The 25650-nt window shown below is 49.2% G+C and overlaps 1 protein-coding gene and 1 long non-coding RNA gene across 4 annotated transcripts in view, besides 1 other annotated feature; both read right to left on the bottom strand.

Annotated features, from left to right (window-relative positions):
- The window catches only part of KCNIP1 (potassium voltage-gated channel interacting protein 1), a 383146-nt gene that overhangs the window by 292019 nt on the left and 65477 nt on the right, over window positions 1–25650 (bottom strand). Inside the window, exon 2 of one of the 3 annotated variants that reach the window (XM_017009408.2) lies at window positions 8783–8828. The exons of the other annotated variants lie outside the window; for them this stretch is intronic. Within the exon in view, the coding sequence (XP_016864897.1) occupies window positions 8783–8828 (46 nt within the window). The remainder of the gene's footprint in view (window positions 1–8782; window positions 8829–25650) is intronic. 3 annotated transcript variants of the gene reach the window in all.
- Window positions 5423–6380: an enhancer, noted in NCBI's record as "H3K27ac-H3K4me1 hESC enhancer chr5:169865238-169866195 (GRCh37/hg19 assembly coordinates)". NCBI's record gives its function as "activates a minimal SCP1, AML or CMV promoter by ChIP-STARR-seq in primed H9 embryonic stem cells {active_cell/tissue: H9 hESC(primed)}" and the evidence as "EXISTENCE:reporter gene assay evidence [ECO:0000049][PMID:30033119]".
- KCNIP1-OT1 (KCNIP1 overlapping transcript 1) overlaps window positions 21770–25650 on the bottom strand; it is a 33352-nt gene continuing 29471 nt past the window's right edge. The window contains exons 2-3 of the long non-coding RNA NR_109899.1: window positions 23999–24228; window positions 21770–22643 (exon numbers count right to left, since the gene is read on the bottom strand). This is a non-coding gene — a long non-coding RNA (KCNIP1 overlapping transcript 1). The remainder of the gene's footprint in view (window positions 22644–23998; window positions 24229–25650) is intronic.

Genomic DNA, 25650 nt, shown 5'->3' with positions numbered 1-25650 from the left:
GGACAAGAATCCAAATGGAAGCTGTGGTAGGCAAAACAGTGGCCCTCTAAAGACATCCGCATCCTCATCCCTATGCCTGTGAGTATGTTACCTTGCATGGCAGAGGGTCACAGAGGTTGTGGATGGGATTAAGGTTGTCAATCAGCTGGCTTTAAAGTGGGAAGATTACCCCGGGTTATCTGGGTAGGCCTGTGGAATCCTCTGGGTCTTGACAAATGACATAGGGAGGCACGAGAGAGAGAACAGAGGTAGCAGCCTGAGAAAGACTCGGCCCAACACTGCTGGCTTTGAAGACGGAGGAAGAGGCCATGAGCCAAAGAATGGGGTCAGCCTCTAGACACTGGAAAAGGCAAGGAAACAGGCTTCCCCCAGGACCCCAGAAGGAACGCAGCTCTGCCAACACCCGGATCCAGCCCAGGGAGAGTCATTTTGGATTTCTGACCCCCAGAAATGTCAGATAATAAAGGTGTGTTGTTTGAAGCCACGAAGTTTCTGGTCATTTGTTCCAGTGGCAATAGGAAGCTAATACTGAGGTCCACTTACCACATCTGCATACTTAAAGTTATGAATCAAGTCAATTACTGGTTAAATACAAAATGTTCTACATTAACAGATATATCTTCTTAACCATTTGGGTTTGCAAATTTACACCCACCTGGGAGGTCCTCACCAGAACCTGGCAGTGTGGAGAAAGCAGACCCCAGCCCCCACCCCTGCCCTGGGCCTGACTCCCTTTCTCTTCCTTCCACTTCCTGCCCATTTCTGGAGGGGCACATGCCTGTGGGCACCCCCCGCCTGCTGCCCAAGCCCCTCCATGGCTCCTGCAAGCAGCTGCTTCATTTGCATCATGAGATGTCCTCAACAGCACCTTCTAGGGTGCAGATCTTTTTGCTGCTGTGAAAGAGGGGCTTATGCAGAATGACATTGTCAGTCTAGACATGTTTCACACAGAGGAGAACTCAGGACGAGGACAGGAGTGGTGGCAGGAACTCAATCTATTACAACAAGTTTTCTGATGTAGTTATGCTCCAGGGATGTAGAATCCTGTGCCTTTGTGTGTAAGGAATCCTTTCTACAAAACCCCTAAGAAATAATCATTCTACCTGTTCTTGCATATGCCTTCCACAGGAGGCTCACTACTTTACATGGCCATCTCTCTAATAGTGAAAAGGTTGAGGCCAGCCCTGCTTTCTTCCCACTTCCATGAATTGGTTTTGACCTTGGCCTCTGCACCTCCTTTTCCCAAGGTTGATTTGGTTTCCAAGCCCTCCCCATGCATTGGAACTGTGGGGTGTTCACCGAACGTGTAATAAATAGCAGGCTTTTGTTCAGTAGGGTTGCCTCTCTCAGTAAATAGTCACTTCAGGGCCGGGGGGTGGGGAATGAGCCATTTTTATGTGGCAGCAAAACACAGCTGCTCATCAACTTATCACTCAGCTGTGCCTCGGTGGTGATCCAAGCCACCTTTGGGTCTGGACAAGAGGGGTGCCTACCATGGAACCCCTGCTTTAGACCCTCTCTGACCCTCCACTAGCTGAGCCCCTCCCCACAGGATGAGGGAAGGGAAAGGGCCAAGGTGGGTTTGCCCACCCAGAGCCCACTCCCTCCTTCTGTCTAGACCAGGCTCTGGGTACGAGGACCCCAGAATCCCCTATCCAAATAGGCCTGGGGCTGATTCCAGGACCTGTCCAGGCCTGTTTTCTGGGATTGTCTTTAATCCCAGAAATCCTGAAGGCACAGGATTCTACATCCCTGATGCATAACCACATCAGAAAACTTGTTCTAATAGATCGAGTTCCTGCCTCCATTCCTGTCCCCTGTCCTGAGTTCTCCTCTGTGTGAAACATGTCTACACTGACAATATCATTCTGCATAAGCCCCTCTCTCACAGCAGCAAAAAGATCTGCACTCTAGAAGGTGCTGTTGAGGACATCTCATGACTCAAGTGGGGTGATGTCTTCTCCAGATTGTCTTGGCAGAAATGGGAAACTCCTGAGTGTAGTGACCTAGTGTCTTGAGAGTCCTGCGTGGTCCCCAGAGCCAGACAGGGCAGGGCGGAGCTAGAAGGCCTTTCCCTGGAGAAACTCATCCTGAACGCAGAACGAGGCCCTGTCTCTCCTTAACCTGACATGAAGGCCCAGGGTCAGGGTGGATCCTAGATGGTTTGGTCCAGAGCCCTTTGCAGACAAGAAAACTGAAGCTCAGAATAGGACAGCGACTTGGACAAAGTCACATAATTAATGCCACCATTTCTAGGTACAAGACCAGATTCCTTTCCAGGGCCACTGGGCCCCTGAGGATCTGGCCCCGATGACCTCTCCAGTTTCACAAAGGCTCCCAGCTATGTGGCCTTTTCTCTGATCTCTGAAAGGCCTCTGCTTACTCGGCCCCTGGGGTCTTTGCAACGCTGTCTCCTCAAGGGCCTCAGAGCTCATGTGGGGCCAAGCTGGGATTTGACTCCAGGGTGCACCGTCTTAAGTACTGCACATGTCAGTGGGTGAGGATGCTTCATAAAGGTTTGGGACGGACAAAAGCTTGAGAACAATCTTGGCTGGGGCACTGAGTGGTGGCTTCCTCTTCCTGGATAGAGTATCAGCTATGCTTATTGTAGTAAACAGTAGTCAGCAGTTGTTCATTCTTTTTTTTTTTTTTTTTTTTTTTTGAGATGGAGTCTCGCTCTGTCACCCAGGCTGGAGTGCAGTGGCACGATCTTGGCTCACTGCAAGCTCGGCCTCCTGGGTTCACGCCATTCTCCTGCCTCAGCCTCCCGAGTAGCTAGGACTACAGGTGCCCGCCACCATGCCCAGCTAGTTTTTTTGTATTTTTAGTACAGACGGGGCTTCACTGTGTTGGCCAGGATGGTCTCCATCTTCTGACCTCGTGACCTCCCAAAGTGCTGGGATTACAGGCGTGAGCCACGGCGCCCGGCCCACTTGTTCATTCTTTAAGACTACATTTTCTCTCAAAAGCCAAGCCCTGGGATGGTTCTGGATATACGGCCCTCAAGGAAAATCTGCAGTGGGCTCTAGGGCTGCAGGTGCCTCTTGCCTCCTGGGCTTCTCAGTCTCGCACCTGAGTCCCTGGCTGAGATAGAAACACCATTGATCGCCTGCCACACAGAGGTACAAAGTGCACAAAGATACAAACCCTGCACGTGGGCACATGGGCACCAGAGGCTCACAGATGGGCCCCCCACCCCTCCCCAGCACCAGAGGTACAAATGCTCTGAGGTGTCTGTGCCCTCAGGGGTCTCGTTTGTTCCACACTCCCTGGAGCTAGCCCTGTTATCTGAATCACAAAGCCTCTCTACAAAGCACCAAGTTCTCACTGCTTCCTACTAGTTAGATTTTAGACAGATCTGTGTGTAACTGTGCACACACGGTTGCATGAAAGGGGCTTTGAGTTCTGATCCCATCCCTGCCAGGGCAGAGGCCCTGCTGGGCTGGGAGGGCAGCTGGAGGAAGATCAGTGCAAACTGAAAATAAAGTTTAGTTATAGGAACTAAAGGAAGCCATGTTTCTTACACACCTGAGCATGCAGAGACTAAAATTCATGCCTGTTACCCATGGTCACGTCTGATCACTGACAAAGGGCGACGGCAGACCGAGGGAAGGAAGCAAGAACAGAGACATGGAAGGGAGGAGCTCAGACGGCAATGGGAACCAGGGCATTGGGCCAGGGGGAGAGAACACCTGTGAGCCAGCAGCCCAGCCTGACTCCTGGGTCCTCCATGCTGTCCAGAGCGGAAGCTTCATCCAAGGACATACCCTCCACTTTTCCATTGCCTTACAGCTTACAGGTTTGTACATCGTGATCTCAGTTAACCCCCAACTCTCCCTGGAGGTAGGTGCTATAAATTTCTGCACTTCAGAGATAAGCAGATGAGGCCCAAGTTTCCACCATGAATCTGTGGTAGGGGCATGATGGGAACTCCAGATCTCTGTGTTCTAATTCTGTCAAGAGGGATCCTGTGTCATACTCGCCTGGCTTCTACCCCTTCACTCAGCCATGAAACACCCTCCATCTGTAGTCCTGTAGTCTCAGCATCCTCATGCTCCTGGAAACCCTCTGACTCTCCCCTAGGAGGGGGTCAGGCAAGGGCCCTCCCCTGGGAATCAATTTCCTTCAGTTCCGTGTTTCCTCCAAGTTGTTGTGTGGCCTTGGGGAGGCCCCCTTCCTCAGCATCCTCAGTTTTGTGATCTGTGAAATAACTGAGACCCTGCTCTGGGATCTGGGACCCCCGCTGTGTATTTGTGGTTTAAATGGCCTTATCACACTTTTCTGTTTAGGTATCTGGGCCCTTGTGTATTGGTTTGCTCAGGCTGATATAATAAGGTGCCACAGACTGGGCGGCTTAAACAAAAATTCATTTTCTTCCAGTGCTGGAGCCCGGAAGTCTGAGATGAAGGTGTCAGCAGGTTGGTTTCCCCTGAGGCCTCTCTCCTTGGTTTGCAGACGCCGCCTTCTCCGTGTCTTCACGTGGTCTTACCTTTGTGTGTGTGTCTATGTCTTATTCTCTTCGCATGAAGATACAAGTCACATGGGATGAGGGCCCAACCTAATGACCTCACTTTAATGTAGTTACCCCTTTAAAGGCCCTGTCTCCAAGAACAGTCCCATTGCAAGGTCCTGCCTTCAGCACGTGAGTTTGGGGAAGACAGAACTCAGCCTGTGGCACGGGGATGGCCGCCTGTGGACAGCCAGCCATACCCCGGTTGTATGAAGGAAGGGATGGGCCTCTCCTCCAGGATCTAATCCCCCTCAAGGCTGCAAGCCCACTTCTTCTCAGCAGACTGCCCCAGGCCCACAAGAAAGGAGCCCACCTGGTGTCCCATGACTGAGTTGTGGGCTGGCACTGCCAAGCCTGGGGAAGGGGAATGTTGCTGGAAGCCTTAGGGACTTGCCAGGCCTGCTCCTGCAGCTCGACCCAGGAGTACTGAGGCTGAGGGTTCCTCAGGCTAGCGCGCCCCTCACAGCAGCCTGCCACTGCTCCCAAGGCTTGCGTAGATGAGCCCCACTAAGTGGTCAGGCTGGATTCCGCCTTCTGCCCCAGCAGGCATCCAGCCTCCTACGTGTGGAGTGGCAGCTGAGACCACCAGGTGGTGCCAAGCTCCGCACCCCCCCGCCCCCGTCCCCCACATTGTGCCAGGCTCTCCTGACACATTGCAGGAGAGAGCTGCAGTGGCCTGTGTCGAGGGGACCTGCCTGGAAGGCAGCCCAGCCCGGGGCCCTTGTTCCTCACTTGTGCCTGCCTGCCTGCCAGGTTGCCTGCTGAGCTTCATAAATGCTTCAATTTGTGGAATTAAAGTTTCCTTCTTATTTGCATCTGGTGGCATGGGGTCAGGGAACGGGGGATGGGAGGTGAAAGCTGAAGGCTTCTGATTGATTCCTGGGCCTCCACAGCAGCCCTAACCCCATTCAGTTCACCCGGTTTATTAAGTGGGTATAGAAGCCCTTATTCCCAGCTGTTCAGTCTTCCCCAGGCATGTGAGTACAACTGATTGTTTTTTTCTCCTGTGAATCTGTCCATTGTCAGTTGATTTGTAGCCCTCCACCCTACCACTAGGATCTAAGTTGATAGAGAGGGAATATTTTCTTCCCAACAGATTCTTAGAAGCAAAAACACACAGAAGCCAGGGGAAGAGTGCTCAGAAATGGTGAAAGGTACCCGAGGGGTCTGGGTGGCGTATGGACAGGCCCACATGCAGTGTCCAGGCACAGAGGAGTACAACAAGGATGTTTCCAGCACCACAGTGTGCCGCTCGGTACAGGGTGCTCCAGATGCTGGGCAGTCCTTGGAGGGGGAATGGGGCATCAGGGAGGGCTTCCTGGAGGAAGAAACATGTCGAAGTCAGATACAGGGAGTGTTCTAGACCAAGGGAGCAGGCTGTGCAATGGCTTGGGGGTGAGAAAGAGCACGGGCTGACTTTAGAGCTTCGTGTAGCCCTCCCACCCCCACCCAAGAGTGGGGAAGTCTATGGGAGTGTGGTGAGGCTGGTGGGCTGGGCGAGTGGCTTGGGGCCTTGGCAGCCAGGATGGAGAGGAGCTTGGGTTTCATGCTGGGGTCAAGAGCAGCCTTGCAAAGGCTTTAAGCTGGGCAGGTCCGTGGGCAATTTTTAAATTTTATTTTAGAAAGCTCCCTCAGATGAGGAATTGATTTCAGGGGAGTGGCGAGGAGGCCAGGGCTGCCTCTGGGCCAGCTCCTCAGCCTAGGACAGGAGACCCTCCTCACCTCTCCAGTGTGCCCTGCTGTCCCCACACGAGGTATTTTCAAGCCCAGAGTGGGCCCTGCTCTGAGCTCAAGCCAGAGTTTGAACACTAGAGCCTTGTCTGCAGTGACCCAAGGGGCTGACAGGAAAAGCTCAGTACTGGTCTGGGGTCCAGGCTGAGGGAGAAGGGGTGGCACAGCCTGTGTGGGAAGGAGAAGCCACTAACAAGGCTGGGCAAGGTTTGGGGCCTGAGTAACATCTGGAGGGACGGAGAGAGCCAAATTCCACTGGGGTCAGAGAGCCTTCCAGAGCCTCTCGATAAAGCCAGTCCTCCAAGCCTTGAGTCTCTGCATGTGTTTCTGGAAATACTGAGGCTGGTGCCAGGAAGCACAGCGGGGAGCAAACAGGGGGCTCTGTGGAGGGACCAAGGCTAGGAATGGTAAAATGGTGTGAAATCGGGGGATTGGCCTCAGAGCCAACTCCGGGGAAGGAGCTTGGTGGCCCAAGGTTTGTTCGGTCATGTGCTGATGGCCCAGGAGATCACCTCAGGGCTGCTCTGAAGGCTGTGCAAAGGCCCAGAGGTAGGGGAAACCTGGATGGTTTGGGATCTTCTTGCAGTTCCATCTGAGAGAGGGAAGAGGTCAGAGGAAGCATGGCGGGCTGGAGGATTGCCTTCCTCTGTGGACCCTGTCCAGAGTGGCTGCTCAGGGCTCAAGGGCAGAGTCCCGCTTTGAAGGGGAGGGTCCGTTCTGCTCCGGCCGGTCCACCTCCTGTCTCTGAGCCTGCTGAGGAAGATACCTGTGCTGCACTGGATTTCAAGCCCTTGCTCACTGGCCCAACAGCCCTGGTTCAAATCTTGGCTCTGCTCCCTTGGGAAGGTTGCTTCATGTCTCTTGGCTCATCTCTGGTCTCTCAAATGGGGGTGAGCAGAGATTTGAAGGTTTGTTTGGAGGATCTCACAAGTCAATACACATTCATGGCCGTTGAGTGACTGGCCTGCAGACAGCCATGGTTGTGAGGGAGTTCAGGACACACTGTCCCAGATCTGCCACCTTGGCATTTGAGAAAACCACAGAAGAAGGAAGGTCGCTCTCTGACCTTCTCCTGCCCTTCTCCCCTGAAGCAGGCCATAAAAGAATTTCCTGAATTTATTCTCAAGTGGGTCATGAAACCTTCATTTAAGAGGTGCCTTCCCTAGACCCACAGGGAAGGAAAGTCCTTCTCTATGAAGATGCAGAGACGCAGAGAAGAATCTGAAGAAACAGGCCTTCCAAATGCCACTTAGGTCATTACCATCAAATCATACCCCCATTTTCCGATTATACTTCTCCACAATTATCTGCTTCTTCATCAAACTTGGCAAAAAATCACATAGATGTCCCTGTTTCTTTGGGTCTTCATTTCTCAAGGCTCCCATGTCACACAAAACTTAAATTACTTGGTTGCTTTTCTCTTGTGAGTCTGTCTTTTGTTACAGGTGCCTCAGCCATGAACCTAGTGATGGATGAGGAAAGAAATCTTTTCTCCCCTACAGATGCACTTTTAAAACAAACTTATGGGGCTGTTATGGGGCCTGGAAACAAGGGCCATGAGAGGGCTTGTGGGCTCTAAACAGCTGGGCATGTATTAGTATTCTTCTAGGTCTAGACTGGGCCTCTGGTCAAGAATGGGACCCCAATCAGGAAGTCTGAGCTAAAACACTGCAGAAAGCAGAAAACAGGGGAACACACACATGCACGGGCACAGACACAAGTACACATGCATGCATGCATGCACACACCTGCGCTGCAACACCTGGGAACTTGTCGAAATGCAATTTCTCTGGCCTCATCTCAGATTTACTGAGGTCAGCTCTAGGGGCGGAGCCAGCTCTCGGGGTTTCCGTGTTCCCTCCTGGGGATTCCAGTGCTGACCCAAGACTGAGAACCACTGAGCCGGATGGGCGATCGCCTTCATTCTGGCCTCAGTCCTGGCAGCTGTGCCCTGTGACCCAGTGGGAGGCCTGTCATCCTTTAAAGCTGGTCCCTGAGACCTTTCTGCTCACCAGGCGGAGCAGGAACAGGCCCTGCAGGGTAGCCTCCTGACTGCCTAATATTGTGGGCATTCTTTACCCAGCGTCTACAGTCTCTCCTGCAAATTAATAACCTCGAATGGCCGGAATTTGCATAATGGCTCTCCTGTCCCCATCATGGGCCTTCATTAATTGTTTTAGAATACTATCTCATTGCCTAGAGCAGTGGCTCTTTGATTCTGTGGGCCTCAGAACCCCCTGGAGAACTTATGGAAAGGTAAATGCTCAGCCCCACATCTTCTCGGCTCCACAGTCCTGTAGGGTGGATTGAAGACGCATGTGTACTTTACAGAGGATTGGGACGAGGCCAGGGTCTTGGTCAATGAAGGGCTTTGGGCATGGTGGGCAGGAATGTGGGTGTCTGATTGAGATCGAGGGGGCAGTGCTGCAGCAATTTGCAGGCCCTGGCTTAAGAAGGGAGTGGTCTGGCTCAGGTAGTGGTGGCCTCCCTGCGCATGAAAACAAGAAGATGATGTAGGAAAGGGAGAGAAATTCCAGGTACCTGTCCTTGAAAGAAGGTCCTCTGGGTGGTCTCCCCAAGATGTAACCTGAAAAACAATAGCATTGTTTCCTGAGCACCTTGCTGGGCTCCGTGCACGTGGTCCCTCACTTACTTCTCCTGTAACCCTGTGGGGTACGGATTTTATCCATCACTCCAAGGGTCAGTGAAGGCTTGTCCATAATCACATAACAAGGCAGGAATAAGCATGGCCCTGTCCTCTTCCAGAGCCTGTGCCTTCAGCATCATCTTATGCCTTCTCCTCCTGGGAGAGAATGGCAAGGGGAAATAGCTCACTTGGCCCCGGTGAGCTTGCAAAAAAGCCCCAAAAACCATCCTGTCCAGCCCCGCTCTCCAGATGAGGAGGCGGAAACTCGGGGGTGTTGGGGGTGCGCTGTCTGCACCTACAGGCGCTGGGGCCCTCTGCCCTGGAACACAAGCTCAAAGTCCCGTTTCTGGTTTGCAGTGAACCTCTGAAATATGCTAACAGAGTCCAGAAAGACCTCAGAAGCTGGGGATGAGGCAGGGTGTCTGTGATAATGTCCGGGACTTCTCCGGCCTGCAAAGAAGTACAGGGGAGACACCGAACCCAAGAGGCTACACGTTGTAGCAAAATTTCACCTAGAAAAAGCCAGCCTGTGGCCTGTGCTGCCCTCTGCTGGGCACCAGGTGGTACTGGCTGCAACTGGCCAGGGCCGGCTCCCTGGGTTGGGTGGGCCTCAGGCCAGGCTACCAGGAGGAAATTGTCTGAGGACCTGACGCTGGCCCCTTCTGCCCCAGCCCAGACAGGCTCACATCAGTGGCGTCCAAGGCCGTGGGCTGGCAGCTGACTGAGAGCTGGGCGTTCCCTTCCATCCTGTATTTTACTGATAGATGGATTGAGATGGAGTCTCGCTCTGTCGCCCAGGCTGGAGTTCAGTGGCACGACCTTGGCTCACTGCAACCTCCCCTTCCTGGGTTCAAGTGATTCTCCTGCCTCAGCCTCCCGAGTAGCTGGGATTACAGGCTCGTGCCACCACGCCCGGCTGATTTTTGTATTTTAAGTAGAGATGGGGTTTCACCATGTTGACCAGGCTGGTCTCAAACTCCTGACCTCAACTGATCCATCCGCCTCGGCCTCCCAAAGTGCTGGGATTACAGACATGAGCCAGCGCACCAGGCCCCATCTTGTTTTTAGAGGAGGTGTGATAGTCATCTCACCCCACCCACCGACCCGTCCCCCAGTCAACCCAGGTCCCTGGCTGCTGCTCCTAGTCTGCAGAGACCAGGAAAGACAGCAGCTTCCTGCCTGAGCTTCCCTGGTGCACATCCTACCTCCAACCTGAGTGCTCTTACAATTCCCTATCCTGATCTCCTGGGGAGAGGTATGATGATACCCTATCCAGGATGCCACCCGATTGGGGGCTGGAAAGCAAACACCCCAGGAGGCCTCTCACTCCAGCCCATAGGATAATATTAACAATACTTGACATTAACTGAACACTGGCTATATTTCATGCTCTATTCTAAATGTGTGTGTATATATATATGCTTACATACATACTTAATCTTGTATGTATATGCGTACATGCGTAATTCTCACTTAATATGAATCTTAACACATACATACTTAATCTTCATAAGAAACTTATGAGGGAGGTACTGATATTATTCCCATGTTATAGAAAACAAAAAATTGAGGCTCAAAGAAGTTCCACAGATAGTTTGGGGCCCGATAGCCAGTAAGCAGCATTTGAACCTAGATAGCTTGGTTCAGCTTTGGTCACTTTTCTTAAGCGTGATGAGAAAAGTGGGCACAAATCTACAAAACTCTTTTTGAGGTCAGAACAAAGAAATGCGGCCCAATCAAGGCAGTCAGGCTGGGAAATGGGAGCTAAAGTGAGCAGGAGGCCCCTCTGCATGGAGACAGGAAAGAGTGTGGTCTCTACAGCCAGGTGGGCCTGGAAGAGGGTCCCCCACTGCCCCGATGAGCTGTGAAATCCTGGGTAAATTGGTGCCTTGTTCTGAGCCTCAACGTCCTCATTTGTAAAATAATAAGGGTTTCGGTAAACGTTAAATGAAACAGTGAAGAATTTAGCATAGTGCGTGACATACAGCAAGCCCTCAACAGAGGCAGATTTCCTTTATTCCTTTGACATTGGACTTGGCTACCAAATGATCTGGAGGAGGCAGATGTAGTGGTGATGACAAGGATGCTGATGATCTACCTGCTCATTATCACTGAGCATCTCCTCTATTTACTTAATAGCTATTAATGGCTATTGTTTGGCTAGAGTATATGAGCTTTGGATTTACTTTTTGTTTCATTTCAGTGGTTCAACCATAAAGCTTTTAAAAACATTGGTACCAGCCAGGTACAGTGGCTCATGCCTATAATCCCAGCACTTTGGGGTGCCGAGGCGGGCGGATCATCTGAGGTCAGGGGTCCGAGACCAGCCTGACCAACATGGTGAAATCCCATCTCTACTAAAAATAGAATAATTAGCCAGGTGTGATGTTGGGCGCCTGTAATCCCAGCTACTCAGGAGACTGAGGCAGGAGAATCGCCCGAACCCAGGAGGCAGGGGTTGCAGTGAGCCAAGATTGTGCCACTGTACTCCAGCCTGGGTGACAGAGCGAGACTCCATCTCAAAAAATAGTAATAAATAAAATAAAAAGAAACAAAAACATCGGCACCTGGGTTCTACTGATTTAATTAGACTGGGACTGTATCAGGTCACGATACTTTCTTTGTGTTTGTGAACCTCAGGTGGTTCAAATTGTGTGTCTGGATTGAGAGCCATGGAGAAGATTTCCCTCCTGCCCAGTCTCCTCCTATTTAACACTCATCTAATCCTTTAGACCTCAGCTTAAATGTCACTTCTTTAAAGAGACATTCCCTGATCGCTTAGACCAGGCCCCACTTCCTTTGTTTTACACCATTGTAAATCCCTATTCCTTTCCTTCAGAGAGAATTTATCTCATTTATATTTATTCTTCTGGTCATGTCAATACTATCTGTCACCCTCACTAGACAGTTTATGCATCTGTAAAATGGGGATATTAATTTCCACCTCAGAAGGTTGTAGCGAGGATATAATAACAAAATGTAGGGAAAGAGCCCGGTTCAAGGTAGTCTTTGTGAATGGCTGCTCACTGCATCTTGTCCCAGGAGTCTCTTGGGATAACACATCATCACTTTCTGATTTCCAAAAATGAACACTTGCCAGCTTCAGAGCGTTAGGCTGGCTTTAGTTTCTCTGAATTTAGGCTACCAAGTGGTTCTCATTTCCCATCTGAACTTCTCTGATTATATGGGCTCGTATCATAGCCCCCACCTCCAAGCCATGAATATTCTACCGAACCCTCAAGTGCCAGCTCTGAGCTAGCATTCTTATTGTGTCCAGCTGGCCTGTCTTTTTAATAATCAAGATGATTTGCTCAATAAATATTAATTAACTAAGGATTAGGTTAGGTGCCAGGCACCATTCCCAATACATATATTATCTCATTTAAGCAGTTTTGCTGTTTAAATAAAGCTAATCCTCTTGTTTCTAGTTAAAACCTACAATACGTGTCTGCAGGGGCAGGGGTTGATATAAATGAGTGCAGGAAGGGATTTTTTTGTGGGGTGATAAGTCCTTTGGCTGCTGGGAGCTCAGGCTTTATCAGAAGCCCCTGTTTTTAGCTCTACCGAATTGTTTTTACACAAGCCCAGAACTGCCAGATTGCCCTACTTTTAAAGAGAAACCAGCAACTTGCTTTTTTATATGAAAACCTCAGCTGTAAGAAGATGGCTCAATGTGAAAAAAAAAAAAAGAGAAAGAGAGAGACACAGAGAGAGAGAGAGATAAAATGCCATTGAGGCCAAACAGCTCAACCATGAGATGGAATCTGCCCACCAGCAACCCCTCAGGCCTGAGCCTTAGAGAAGAGAGTGGAATGTCCTGGGGGACAGCAGAGGCAGGTGTCAGTGGAGAGGCAGAGACAGAAGGAAGTCTGGAGGGAAAAGGCCAAAACCAGACCCATCTCCTCAAGTCCAGAAAGGTGCTGAGCTCATGGGTCCTGCTGGGTAGGTGGCAGAGCCTTGGCGGGAATGCCTGGCCCCCTTGCACCAGGTCTGGGGAGCTCAGCCCGTGTAGACCCTGGATGCCCCGGCAACCTCTGTCTTCCAGGGCCCCCGTGGGCTTGGCTGAGAAGGAAATGAGGAGGCCTTCTCTCTGGTTGGATCCATTTGGGAGATCTTGTTACTTCTTGCCACCACCCTTTCCCACCAGGTGACAGCTTGAAGTGTTAAGTTCCTCCATTGAACCCAGGTAATTTCCTGGAAATTTCTCAGCTGCGTGGGGATCCCAGCTGTAAGCAGAGGTCAACGAATGTGATTTCTTTCCCCATTTTCTCACCACCACCTAAAATCCCCCAGATTCTCACATAAGGCTAGAGAAGGGGAAAGCCTATCAGGAGAGAGATGATCCTGTGCCCTCCAGCAGCCTGATCCTTGGTTTTAAGAAGACGAATGAATGGACATTTCTTCCACCATCAGCCATGGAGGGCAGGATTCGTGCCGACTCCTCACTCACTCCACACAATTGTTGAGTAACTGGAGAAGATGTCTCCTGACAGGCAGTGGCAGCAAGGCCTTCTGGCTCCTCCGCCAGCCTAGCTTGTAAACTTTAATGCCCGCTTCAATTCACAACCCAATTGCTTGTAAAATGAAGCCACTTTCCGCAAGTCCCTTAATTGGAATCTGTTTCTCTGCCTCAGAGGCGAGGGCTGGAATGTGCTTTGCCAGCATCTGCAGATGGAGTGAGGCAGGATGATCTGTCCTGCAGGAGGGGAGGGCCTGGAGGGATGGCACTCTTTGTCTTCCCCTCCTACGAGTGGGACCAGATCCTGCCTGAATGTTCCCAGCCATGACAGGAAGTCGTGGACAGTGAGCAAATTCTGGGATCCAGGAGGCAGGCTGGCCGCTCATCTATGAGACTAGTGAAGGGGTCACTTAAGAGAAGGGCTGAGATCAGTAATAACACAGTAATAGTAGGGGCAACAATCAACGCTGCAGCTACCATTCGTGGGTCACCTCTGTGACCCAGGAACTGCGTATGACCTCACATAGTCCCCATGCCCATGACAACTCTTTCCCAGCTCTGTCCTTCACTGGTTCCTGATGAGGGGCTGAGTCTTTGGTTTAGCAAGCACTTCCTAAATGATGGGAAATGAGGACGTTCCCATCCTTGAGGACAGATGAACGTTTGGGAATGTCACCAAGCACCAAGCAATGTTAAGTGCTACACTAGCCATACCGGGTATGATAGGAGCCAAGGAAGTAGCAATGTCATCTCCTTCAGCTGGAATCATTGTCAGGGAGAGGACCCATGAGCTGGGCTTTGAAGGGTGTGTAGGAGTTTGACAGCTGGAGAAGGTGGAAGAGAATGCTGGGCAAGTAGAACAATTTGAACAAAACATAGAAGTGTCAGGGGCATTGGCTTATCAAAAATTGGAGAAGACAGTGTTACAAGAAGAACCTGAGACAGTAAATGTAAATCATGTGGCCCCGACCATAAATGGAATGGGGGCCTTCAGCATGCACTGGCATGGTCAGAGGTTTGGGGCTGGAACCATGAAAAGCCCCTATTGGGTCCTACCTTCCGCCCACCACACCATCCAGACCAACAGATGCTTACTGTCCACAGGCTTAACTGATGATTCCTGTCACCTGATTTTCCAAGGTGAGCAGGGTCGCTGAAGTATCTCAGGTGACTATCCTCTAGAGGAGGGTGACTTTGGAGTAGAGTGTGTGGGACAAGAGGAATAAGTGGTGAAATCTGTGGGGACATCAGTGGGAGTCTTTGGTCTGTGGTCTAATAAGTAAACCTGAGATCAAGGTCAGGATCTGAAATACCTGGGTCTACCTCATGGATTTGTGTATTGCATCTGCTTCATGTCCAGCATTAGACATGATCATATTTCCTGTAGGTTACATTTCACAAAGGTTTGTTAGTTTTGTGTAGGCAAATACAAAGGGGGTGTATGTATATATATAAGCATTTAAAATTCTGTGAGGCGTCTTTTGCAGCAACTGGAATGAAACTGGAATTCATTATCTTAAGTGAAACAAGCCAGGTGAAGAAAGTCAAATATCACATGTTCCCACCCATAAATGGGAGATAAATAACCTGTATACATGGATGTAGAGAGTGGGATAATAGACAATGGAGGCTTGGAAGGGTGAGGGTGTGGGGGAGGAGTGGATGATGAGAAATTAGTTGATGGGTACAATATACGTCATTGTGGGGACGGATACCCTAAAAGCCCTGACTTCACTACTACAAAATCTATGCATGTGACAAAACTGCAGATGTCCCCCATAAATTTGTACAACAAGAATTTGAAAAACAAAAAGTGTCAGGGGAATAAAAAGCATTTCAGTTGCTTCACCTACAGTATGAGAATATATATATATATACATATATATGTAGGGGAAGAATAAGGAAGAGAGACTAGGCTGAAGTAGGACTGTGGTGAGCCTCCAATGCCGTGAAGCTTGGATTTTATCCTGTAGACACTGGGGACTCAGTGAGGGGTTTAGCAGAGACAACGGCATGCCCAGTCTAGCCCTGTGTTTTAAGATGTTCCCTCTGGTGGCTGATGTGGAGAACAGGGTTGCTGAAGGAAGATGCAGGAGGCAGGACTGGGTCAAAGAGAAGTTACCAGGAAAGCACCTTGGGCTCAGTGGGAGAAAGTCAATTTTGTTTGTTGTTTTTTGAGACAGAGTCTCAGTCTGTTGCCCAGGCTGCAGTGCAGTGGCGCGATCTCGGCTCACCGCAACCTCTGCCTCCCGGGTTCAAGTGATTTAATGGGAAAAGTTCTGAACACTTCAGGCTATCATACGATGGGAAAGGGTGGTATCCAGAAGCAGCAAGTTCTCCCTCAGCAGAGGAGTACAAGCAGAGGGCAGACCTCTCACGCCCTTTTTATTTAGCCCTCACAGCAGACTGTCAAACCCCAGATACCTTCTTTCCTAGCACCACCCGCAGCTGGGCAGGGACATAGAACCAGGCTTTGATCAAAGGGGCATTGAGAAGGGAAAGGTGGGTCACTTGGCAAATATTTTCCTCCCCCATAAAGGGTGGGAAGGTGAAGGTGACACACACCTTTCTTCCTATTGGCTTTAGTGTAGGTGGTTTCGTGAGGCTATGATGTCTGTAGCAGACACAGCCACCCCGTGAGTACTGATGGGACAGCAGACAGAATCCCAGAAACCGCCCAGAGCCTGGACATAACGGAGCTGCTCTAAAGTTCTCAACACCCTGATCTCTTGCTATATAAGATGATAAATATCAAGGCTTAGGCTATGTTTGTGTCAGATATTATGTTCCTTGTTGTTAAATTCCATCAGCCTGGAATATTGTTTTAATAAAAAAAAAAAAAGACAGCATTAAGCCCAAATCTAGCTCCAAAGCATGGGTGAGTAATGTGTACTTTGACTGTGGTTTTCATGGAGAGACTGAAGAGGACCTTGTATCCTATCTTTCGCACTGTGGCAAAGCCCCTTAAGCATAGCTGCTCTGGCTGTCACGTTCCTTACCCTCAGGTGGCTGCCACGACATCCCCACAAGTCCTTCCACCAACCCTGCGTTTCCCAGCCTCCTCCCGTTTCCAGTTTACCTCCTTATTCTTTTTTCTTATGTAGAGCAAATTTAGGCTTCTCTCAACTTCACTGAGGAACACAGATGTTGTCCCTGGGACACACCCACATTAGAAGGGGAGGAGTGGAAGGAAACAGGTGGGCAGGGAATAGTTGAGCATGGTTTTGAAGTATGAATAGGAGCTCACCACGTGGAGGAGAGAGGAAGGCATTCTGGAAAGGGGAAATCACACTTGTACATCTAACAACACTATTTTCTTTCTACCATATGCTGAAAATACTAAATGTGAAGTTAACCCATAGGCCTCCTCTGGGAGGCTCTGGGCAGCTTGCCAGCTCTGGAGTTGGGGGTTGGACTCAGATGCTGCAGGAAGTGTGATGGGAAGAGTTGTCTCTGGGCCATCTGGCTCCAGCTGCCTGGCAGCACACTTTCCTTTGAGATGAAGGCGAAGGGGTGGGAGCAGCTTCTCAAAAGGAAGTGGAGGAGGTGGCAGACCCCACAGGTGCAGCCTGGGAGCAGTCCTGGGGCCCAGCAGCAGGCCGGCAAGGTGGAGACCTGGTACAGGGGACCAGTGGAGACTGGTCACGTCCCTGTTTGCATTGGCTGGGAACCCCTGGGTGAGGATACAGTGGTTCTCAGCTGGGGATGAATTCTCTTCCCCATGGCAGGCTGTGCTTTTCAGGGCCTAGTCCTACCACTTACTGGCAATGTGAACCTGGGAAGTCGCTTCCCCTTTCTGTGCCTATCTCAAAACTGGGGAAATAAGAATGCCCGCCTCATAGGGCAGCAGTGAGGATTAGATGAGATGGTTGTAGCTATAATGCTCCTGTCCAGACACAAGAAAAGAGTGGCCATAAGCTGCCAGAACCTGGCCCAGAGTCTTACACCTTACGCCTTTCTCTCCTGGTCGTTGGAGGCCGCAGGAGGGGCTGGGAATGCAGGGGTTCTGGTCGATAGTCCTAATGCACCAGAAACAGCTGGCTTGGGTCTAACTAGTGACTCTCAGCACCTCTTTAAGGCTGTGACTTGCAGAGGAGGATGCTATTATTTCCATTTGGCAGGTGAACCTGCAGAGGCTCTGGGAGGCCATGACTCTCCCCTACCCTGTGTTGTAGCAGAAAGCAGGGAACCTGCAGCCCCTGCTCCAGCCCTCCTTGGGCTGAGTCAGAAAAGGTCTGTCTTGCCCTCAGCTCCCCACCCCTGAAAGGAGGCCTCTTCCCTCTCCCTGTGGAGCTGGTCCTGCGGCCGCGCCTCTTCCCTCTCCCTGTGGAGCTGGTCCTGTGGCCACGCAAAGGCTGCACATGGGGTGGTTTTTATCTGGGTTTCTCCTCCCTGAGGCCAAAACATGGCTTTCTTTCTGCAGGCTGGTAGGGGAGGCGGGCTCTCAGCTCCACCCTCTACGAACCCCTCTTGGGAGTTGGGTGGAAGCAGATGCTTTCCCAGAAGTTCTTTCTTGGCTGCTGCAGTGAAAATCTGGGTGGAGTGTGAACTGTTCCTTCAGGTAAATCAGACAATGCTGACAGCAATTGCCATTTACCAAGCACCTGCAAGCTCAGGCACTGTGTTAAGCCTCTGTGTGCAGACTGCCCTCCATGCTCACAGCGCCCCTAGTGCTAGATGCGGCTGATAGCTCCATTTTGCAGACTGGTAAAACTGAGTCCCAGTGGCAACTAATCTGCTTAGTGTCATGTAGACAGTAACTGCTGGATCTAGGATTTATCCCTGTGACTTTGTGACTCAAGCCTTCGCCCTTCAGTATGTCCCAGTATTAACTCTCAGTAGGAGGCAAAGCAAGACAAGGTCAGGCTTCCAAATTGAGCTGGAAAATGAAACAAAGAGGATAAGAATGTTATTAACAGGGTTTGTCTGGAACAGAGCAGCTGCCTCAGGGGGCTGATATGACTGATAATATTAAAAACTGTGTGTGTGTGTTTGTGTGTGTGTGTGTGTGTGTGTGTGATTCCTTTTGAGTCACAAAGCATTAGCAAACATTTTCCCAAGCATGCTGGGCCTGAGGATACAGGGGCCTAAGAGAACCAGTCCCTACCATGGAGGAGCTCTGCATCAGTCAGTGGTTCGAGGAAGAAGGGACTTACTGCAAGGAACCAGCCGCTTCCAAATCACTGGAAGGGCTGGAGAAGCGGCCACCAGGCTGGGCCTCCAGGAATAATCCCCAGCACACTGCCAAACTGACCTGCCCGGGGCCACTACCTCAAAAGCTGCTGAGAAAATGCCTGAGTCCTAGAGCATGCCACGGACCAGTGCTGCAATTCAGGAACCAGGAAGCTGTCCCCATGGCTGCCACCAATGCAACATTTTCTGTCACCAGGAAGCAGTAGGATGGTCAATGGCCACAGACAACCTTATATTTCCAGGACCTTGCCTGCCTGCAGGAAGGTGGCTCCTGCCTTCCAGATCTTGCTAGGGCGTAGGGGACTGACACCCAGAGCCCTCACCTGGAGAGGTCTGGTGGTCTTCTTCATGGCACAGAGGCTTCCGTGGCAGAGGAAGAGGCACTTGCAGGAGGGAGGGTGGAGTTGCAGCCAATTCAAGAACTGTGCCCAAGTCTCTCTCCAGCCAAAATGGGGTGTCAGAAGCTTTGGTGGCAACAGAAGGATGTCTTGTGTTCTGTGTATCCTTTAGACTCAGCTTTGCAGAGTTGGGGGCATGGATCCAAGGGATCCTCCTTCCTATGAATACAGGGAACCCCAAAGGGCCTCCTAGCTTTTCTCCAGCAGCTCTCTGCCTCCCCCCATGACTGCCATCACCTGCATGGCCAGGCCACCTGGAGAAAGACTCCTGCATGGGGCCTGAGCCTGGAGGTAAGAATTGGTTTTCAGAATCAAATTGTCTCTTTCAAGGGGCCAGGTCAGGGTTCACCCAACTTGGATGCAGGGGAAAAGAATGAGACAAGTTAATTCATTTATTTAAGTAATAGTTATTGAACACTTACTACATTACAGTCAGCATTCTAGGGCTGGGGAAGCAGTGGAGAACCGCCCAGATATCTGTCATGGAGCTTACATTATAGTGGGATAGGAAAATAGCAAATAAGAAATAGAGACAGTGTTCAGTGCTGTAAAGTAAATGAAACAGAGCTATGGTGTGGAGCGTGTGCAGGGGAGGGCTGTTTTCAATCCAGGGTACAGGGAGGGCCTTTCTGAGGAAGTGACTTGGAGCTGAGGTCTGAATGACAGGTTGAAGCTAGTCATGGGAAGGGTCTGAGGAGGATGGTTCCAGCATGTGCAAAGGCCCTTAGGTAGGCATGAGCTTATTGTGTCTGAAGACCAGAAAGAAGCCAAGACGCCCAGATAAAGGAGTGGGGTAGGAACGAATGAGCAAATGTTGGCAGGGGCCATATCATAAAAGGCCTTGAGGGCCATGGTGGGAGGTTGGGCTTTATTCTAAGAGTGGTGGGATGCCATTGGAGGCTTTTGAGCAGGAGAATGACATAATCTGACTTCTACTTTTAAAAGATCGCTCAGGCTACTGGGTGAATGATGGATTGAGATGGGCAAGAATGGAGGCAGGGGAGTCAGGAGGCTGACACAGTGAACAGGGGAGAGACGATGGGGATTTGGACTAGGAAAAGGAGTCCAAATCCTTTGGATCAGTATCTACCCTGCCCCACCCCTAGCCCCAGCCGAAAGGATTCTGCAGTTTTCTGAGTCTTGGTCTGGTCTTCACTGCTCTCATCATTGCTAAAAGGCCTGAGGTGTGTGGAGCCTCGGGGTGGGATGCACCCTTTGTTCTCGGGCAGCCTTGTGTGAGTTGCCAAGGCTCAGACACACCTGAGTTCACATACAGGCTGTATTCCCTACTCTGGGGGCAGCTCACTTCATTTCCATAGGCCTCAGCATCCCTATCTATAAAATGGGAACAGTAATGCCTCCTTGTGGGAAGGATGAAATGTGACAATGCCAGCCCAATGGGACATGTGCAAAGTAGGCCTTCGATAAATGGCAGCTTCGTGCCTGCTCTTCATTCCTCATCCCTCCCTCAGTCTCCTGCTACCCCGCACTTGGGTAAGGACAGGGAACCCAAGAGCATGTCTGAGAAGCTCCCTAGTAATGGAAATGTCAGCAGCAGAAGAAAAAGAGCCAGTGCTGCTTTGACGGCAGTGATGGCGATGAATGATTTATGTCCAGCCTAATGGTTACATAAGCAGCTGTTACATTTTAAAATCATCATGCAAACAATATGAAACATTTATTTAAGTGGTTCTACACTATGGGGAATTTGATTTAATCAGCCTTTATTTCTGTTCTCATTAGAATGAAGTCTGGCAACTCTAGTAGACAGCGCTACCTCCGTTTGGTAGCTTCCAGCTACTGAAAGCAAATATTTTTACTGAGCCACAATTAAACATTTATACAGCACCCGGCTCCCCATCTGGCCTGTGGAGGGGAGGGGGTGAGGCAGTGAATTCATCCAAAAATTCCACACAGAATAAAGCCAGACGCACCCCCGCATCTAACAGAATTAATAAACCATCTGAAGAGCCCATTTGAGAATGAAAAAGTTCACCGATTCATAAAATTTTTCCAATATGCTGTGAGCTGCAGGTAGCCAAGCTGGGGATCCTCGAGGCTGGCTTTTAATCTTTGCTCTTCTGGGCCAAGTGGGGTTTTTGGTTTTGTTTTGAAACAACTTAGACATCATGGGAGATGCTAAGAAGATCCTCTAAAGACAATATGACTTATTTGAAATTCCACCAGAATTTTCATGTATTATATCTCCAAATTCAGGATATGGGTTCCCTTGGGGAGACAAATGGAGAGAGGTACACAAGGGGGTTTTATTGTGTTGGTGATGTTTTATTTCTTACACTAGGTGGTGGTGCATGGATATCTTGTATTAGTCTTTTTATCTGTTTGTGTGTCTTAAATAGTGTATAATAGGAATTGAAAAAAAAAAAACAAGAAAGAAAAAGAAATTCACTGGGTATTAGAGTCAAAAGACCAAAAATCCAATCTTGGCTCTGCCACTATCTTTGTGAAATTTGGACTTGCCTCTTAGCTTTTCAGTTTCCCTATCTATAAAAAGTCAGGACTAGAGCAGTGAGGGTTCTGTGAGGTTTTTGTTTGTTTTTAAGAGCCAGTCACTGAAGTTCGTTTGTTTGAGACAGGGTTGTGCTCTGTCGTCCAGGCTGGAGTGGAGTGGTGTGAACATAGCTCACTGCAGCTTCCACCTCCTGGGCTCAAGCAGTCCTCCCACCTCAACCTCCTGAGCAGCTGGGACTACAGGCACATGCCACCATGCTCAGCTGAGTTTTGGATTTTTGGTAGAGGTAGGGTTTCGTCATGTTGCCCAGGCTAGACTCTAAGTCCTGGACTCAAGCAATCCGCCTGCCCCAGGATAACAGGTGTTCACAGTTAAATTTAAGTCTGGGAAATGCTGCATACTCTTTGTCCTTTGGGAAAATCATAAAATGTTAAAGGTACTGAGAAGTCTTGTGGCAAAGAAGTCTGTTTTGTTATATATCTATTAATATCATGAGGTACTAACATTCTGTAAAATAATCTCTGGGACCTGTTATTCTGTATTATGTCAAAGACCCCTTTAGATTCTAGGTTCTTTAAGGCAACAATTTTTGCCTATTAACGGGGCAATCTTTAACCATCCCTGAAACAGATAAACCAGACACTCCAGCCAATCACTTTCCTCTAGGTTAGCCAGCTGAGCACCTTTCCTTCCTGTTCCAAGTCCCGGCTTCTTGCCCCTGGGCTCATGCTGGCCCCCTCACTGCTGAGTAATTCTTCCTGAGCCAGTCACTGAAGTCCTTGGGTATCTATCTTTCTTTTCTTCTTGTCTCCCCATTCTAGAAGCATAAATTGTCCAGACTGTCTCTTGCTCAGTATGAGACGATAAAGTTGAAGACCTGAGAAGCAGTGTGACAGAGACATAGTCACGCAGCTGTGGGTGGCAGAGTTGAGACCAGAACCAAGTTCCTTTCTCATTGCCCTCAAATGCTTGGTTTTACATCCAGTTTACATTCTGCCCGGTGCATGTACATCCTTGATGCTGTTTTCTTGCTGTTTGTCTATGATGGTTTTGCATGTCTCTCCTGGGAAGACTGTATTCTCCTTCAAGGCACAAGTCACATCTGTGTTTATATAAATTCTAACACTATTCTGAGGACAGCATGGTGCTGAAAACACTCTCAATGCCAAGTTATTGAATGTCCCAGTGGATTCTTCTCCCTGCCAAGTCATCTCAGCTCCAAACACTGCTTCCTGGAGAGATGCAGACACATCATTTTATTCACACAAAGTTGTGTTTAAAACTCCCCTTCAAATGTGGGAGTGATTCAGAAGTCCAGAATAACATTGACCCTAATCAAGTGTTCTTAATTAATTATTCACATTGGAAAAATACGTCTTGGTTCACTGAAACTCTGGAATAACCACACCTACCCAATTTGAGTGAGGAAGACACAACTTGGCAGATGCTATGGTCTCAATGTTTCTATCCTCTCCCAAATTCATATATTGAAATCTAATCATGAAGATGATGGTGTTGGGAGGTGGGGACTTTGGGAAATGATTAGTTCATGAGGCTGGAACCATGGCAAATAGGTCTAGTGCCCTTAGAAAAGAGGCTGCAGAGAGCTGCCTTGTCCCTACCCCTCGGTGAAGACACAGCAAGAAGACGCCATCAGTGAACCAGAAAGCAGGCTCCCACCAGACACCAACTCTTAATCATGGATTTCCCAGCCTTCAGAAATGTGAGAAATACATTTCTATGGTATATAAGGCCAGCTTATGATATTTTGTTATAGCAGCCATAATGGGCCAAGACAGAAGAAAGGTTTTTACTGTGAATTAAAAGAGAGACCACATGATTTCTGGGGAGAAGCCCTTCACACAACCACATGGCGAAACTGGGTGTGAAAGAAACTCCTGCTTTTTAAAGAGCTGCTTTAAATATGCCTTCTGAAAAAGAGTTACCATTTTCTGCTAAATCCTTTTGCAACCAGGAAACAAGAGTGCACCACGGCCAAGGTTTGCCGACATCATAAGTGACTTGAGTTTGCTCCATGGCTGTACATCTTCTCTGGGGACATCCTCAGCAACAACACCCCCTCCAACCCCAAGCTCTTTCCGGGGAGCTGATCCTGAGGCCCACTGTGCTATTGTCCCTGATGCTGATACTTTCCTTCGAGGTGGTTTTTCAAGCAAGGAACATCTGTCCACCAGATGGCAGTGTACCAACAACCCAATCAAATGGCTCCTGCTCAGATCAGGGCTAGACCTCGCTGTCCGGCTGGCAGACCCCAGCCATACGTGGCTATTGAGTCCTTAGAGTGTGAGTAATCTGAATTGAGATATGCTGTAAGGTTAAAATACCCACTGACTTCGAAGACTGAATACAAAGAAGTGGGGTTGGGGGGGAGAAGAAGAAGACGCAGTATTTCATGAATGACTATTTCCTATTGATTACATTTTGAATACTATTTTGAATATACAGTTGACCCTGAACGATGTGGGAGTTAGGAGTGCCAACCACCATGCCGTCAAAATCCTGTGTATAACCTTTGATTCCCCAGAAACTTAACTCCTAATAGCCTGCTGTTGACTGGAAGACTTACCCATAACATAGACAGTTGATTAACACATATTTTATATGTTACATGCATTATACGCTGTATTCTTTTTATTTTTTTTTTTTTTGAGTTGGAGTTTCGCTCTTGTTGCCCAGGCTGGAGTGCAATGGTGCGATTTTGGCTCACTGCAAACTCGGCCTCCCAGGTTCAAGTGATTCTCCTGCCTCAGCTTCCTGAGTAGCTGGGAATATGCTGTATTCTTACAGTAAATGAGGCTAGAGAAAAGAAAATGTTATTACGAGAAATCATAAAGAAGAGAACATATATTTGCTATTTATTAAGTGAAAGTGGATCATCAAAAAGATCATCATCCTCTTTGTTTTCATGTAGAGTGGGCTGAGGAGGAGGCGGAAGAGGAGGGGCTGGCCCTGCTGTCTCAGGGGTGGCAGAGACTGAACAAAAGCCATGTGTAAGCGGACCCACACAGTTCAAACCTGTGTTGTTCAAGCCTCAACTGTATTGGGTTAAATAAAATATCATATTAAAATGGATTTTACCTGGTTCCTTTTTCTTTTCAATGTGGCTATGAAAAAATGTAATGTTACATATGTGGTCTCATTGTGTTTCCGTTGGCCAGAGAAGAGAAACAGTGGGCGGGGAAGGGTCGCACTGGGAAGCTGGGTAGAGCCAGCGGTCACAGTCCCATGCAAAGTGAAAAGAGCATGGCCTTTGGTAAATGACCACCTGGGCTTGAACTGCAGCTCTGTCATTTATTTTGGACTTGTGACTTAATCACTTTAAGTGTTGGTTTCCCCAGCTGTCAGGGGGCATAAACATGCTGCCTTCTCCCATGGATACTGTGAGGGTCAGATGTAGGACAGCCACAAATCATGGCCTGCTCAGGCCTGCGTCCCAATGCAATTATTAACAGCACCTTCTTCAGTTGCAGAATTTTGTCAGTTAAAGCAATGAATTATACAGTTTCCCTGGTGAAATGAGATCACGTATATTAAGCACTTGGTACATCGTAAGTGCACAATTTTATGTCTAAAATGATCATACGACTCAGAGATGGAAGATGGTGACTTTCTCTTCTATAATTTCACATAATTTCTGACTCCAAGCTCCATTTCTGGTTGAAGCAGAAAACTCAGCCTAGTCATTTTCAGATAAATTTGGTTATTTTAGAATTATATTCAAATCCAGAGTTCTATCTTCTTCCTTCTTCCATGGGTAGAGTCTAGACTGGGGGAGTGGTGGCTTATGCAGGTCACAGCATTGGACCGGGAGGGAATATTTGGTGTTTACTTGACTTCCCTTGGCTTCCTTCCTCCACCTCTCTGATTACTTCCTCCCCTGCTGATGGCATCGGGGTCCTGCTGTGGTCCACAGCTCCTCCTCTGCTGTGGAACCCCCAAACCTCACTGGGGTCTTGGCCTCTGCAGCCTCCTAAGGACTGGCCATGTTTTTCCATTTCAGAGGTCAGCACTGGACACTGACTCTGTCTGTCCCCTCTATCTCAGCTCACTTCTTCCATTCACCTGGACAACGACGTTTACACGTTAGGAAGATCTGTTAAATTCACTAACCACGTAGACTTTGCACCTGTTCTGTCCCTTGTTTTTTGCTAAGTTCATGGGATACAGAGACATATAAGAAAGGTTACTGCCCTCAAAGAAAATATCGTCTTAGCGAGG

The sequence above is a fragment of the Homo sapiens genome, chromosome 5 (genome assembly GCF_000001405.40).
Source record: "Homo sapiens chromosome 5, GRCh38.p14 Primary Assembly".
NCBI lineage: Eukaryota > Metazoa > Chordata > Mammalia > Primates > Hominidae > Homo > Homo sapiens.
The sequence above is the reverse complement of the archived record's forward strand: the minus strand, read 5'-3'. Positions and strand labels throughout refer to the sequence as shown.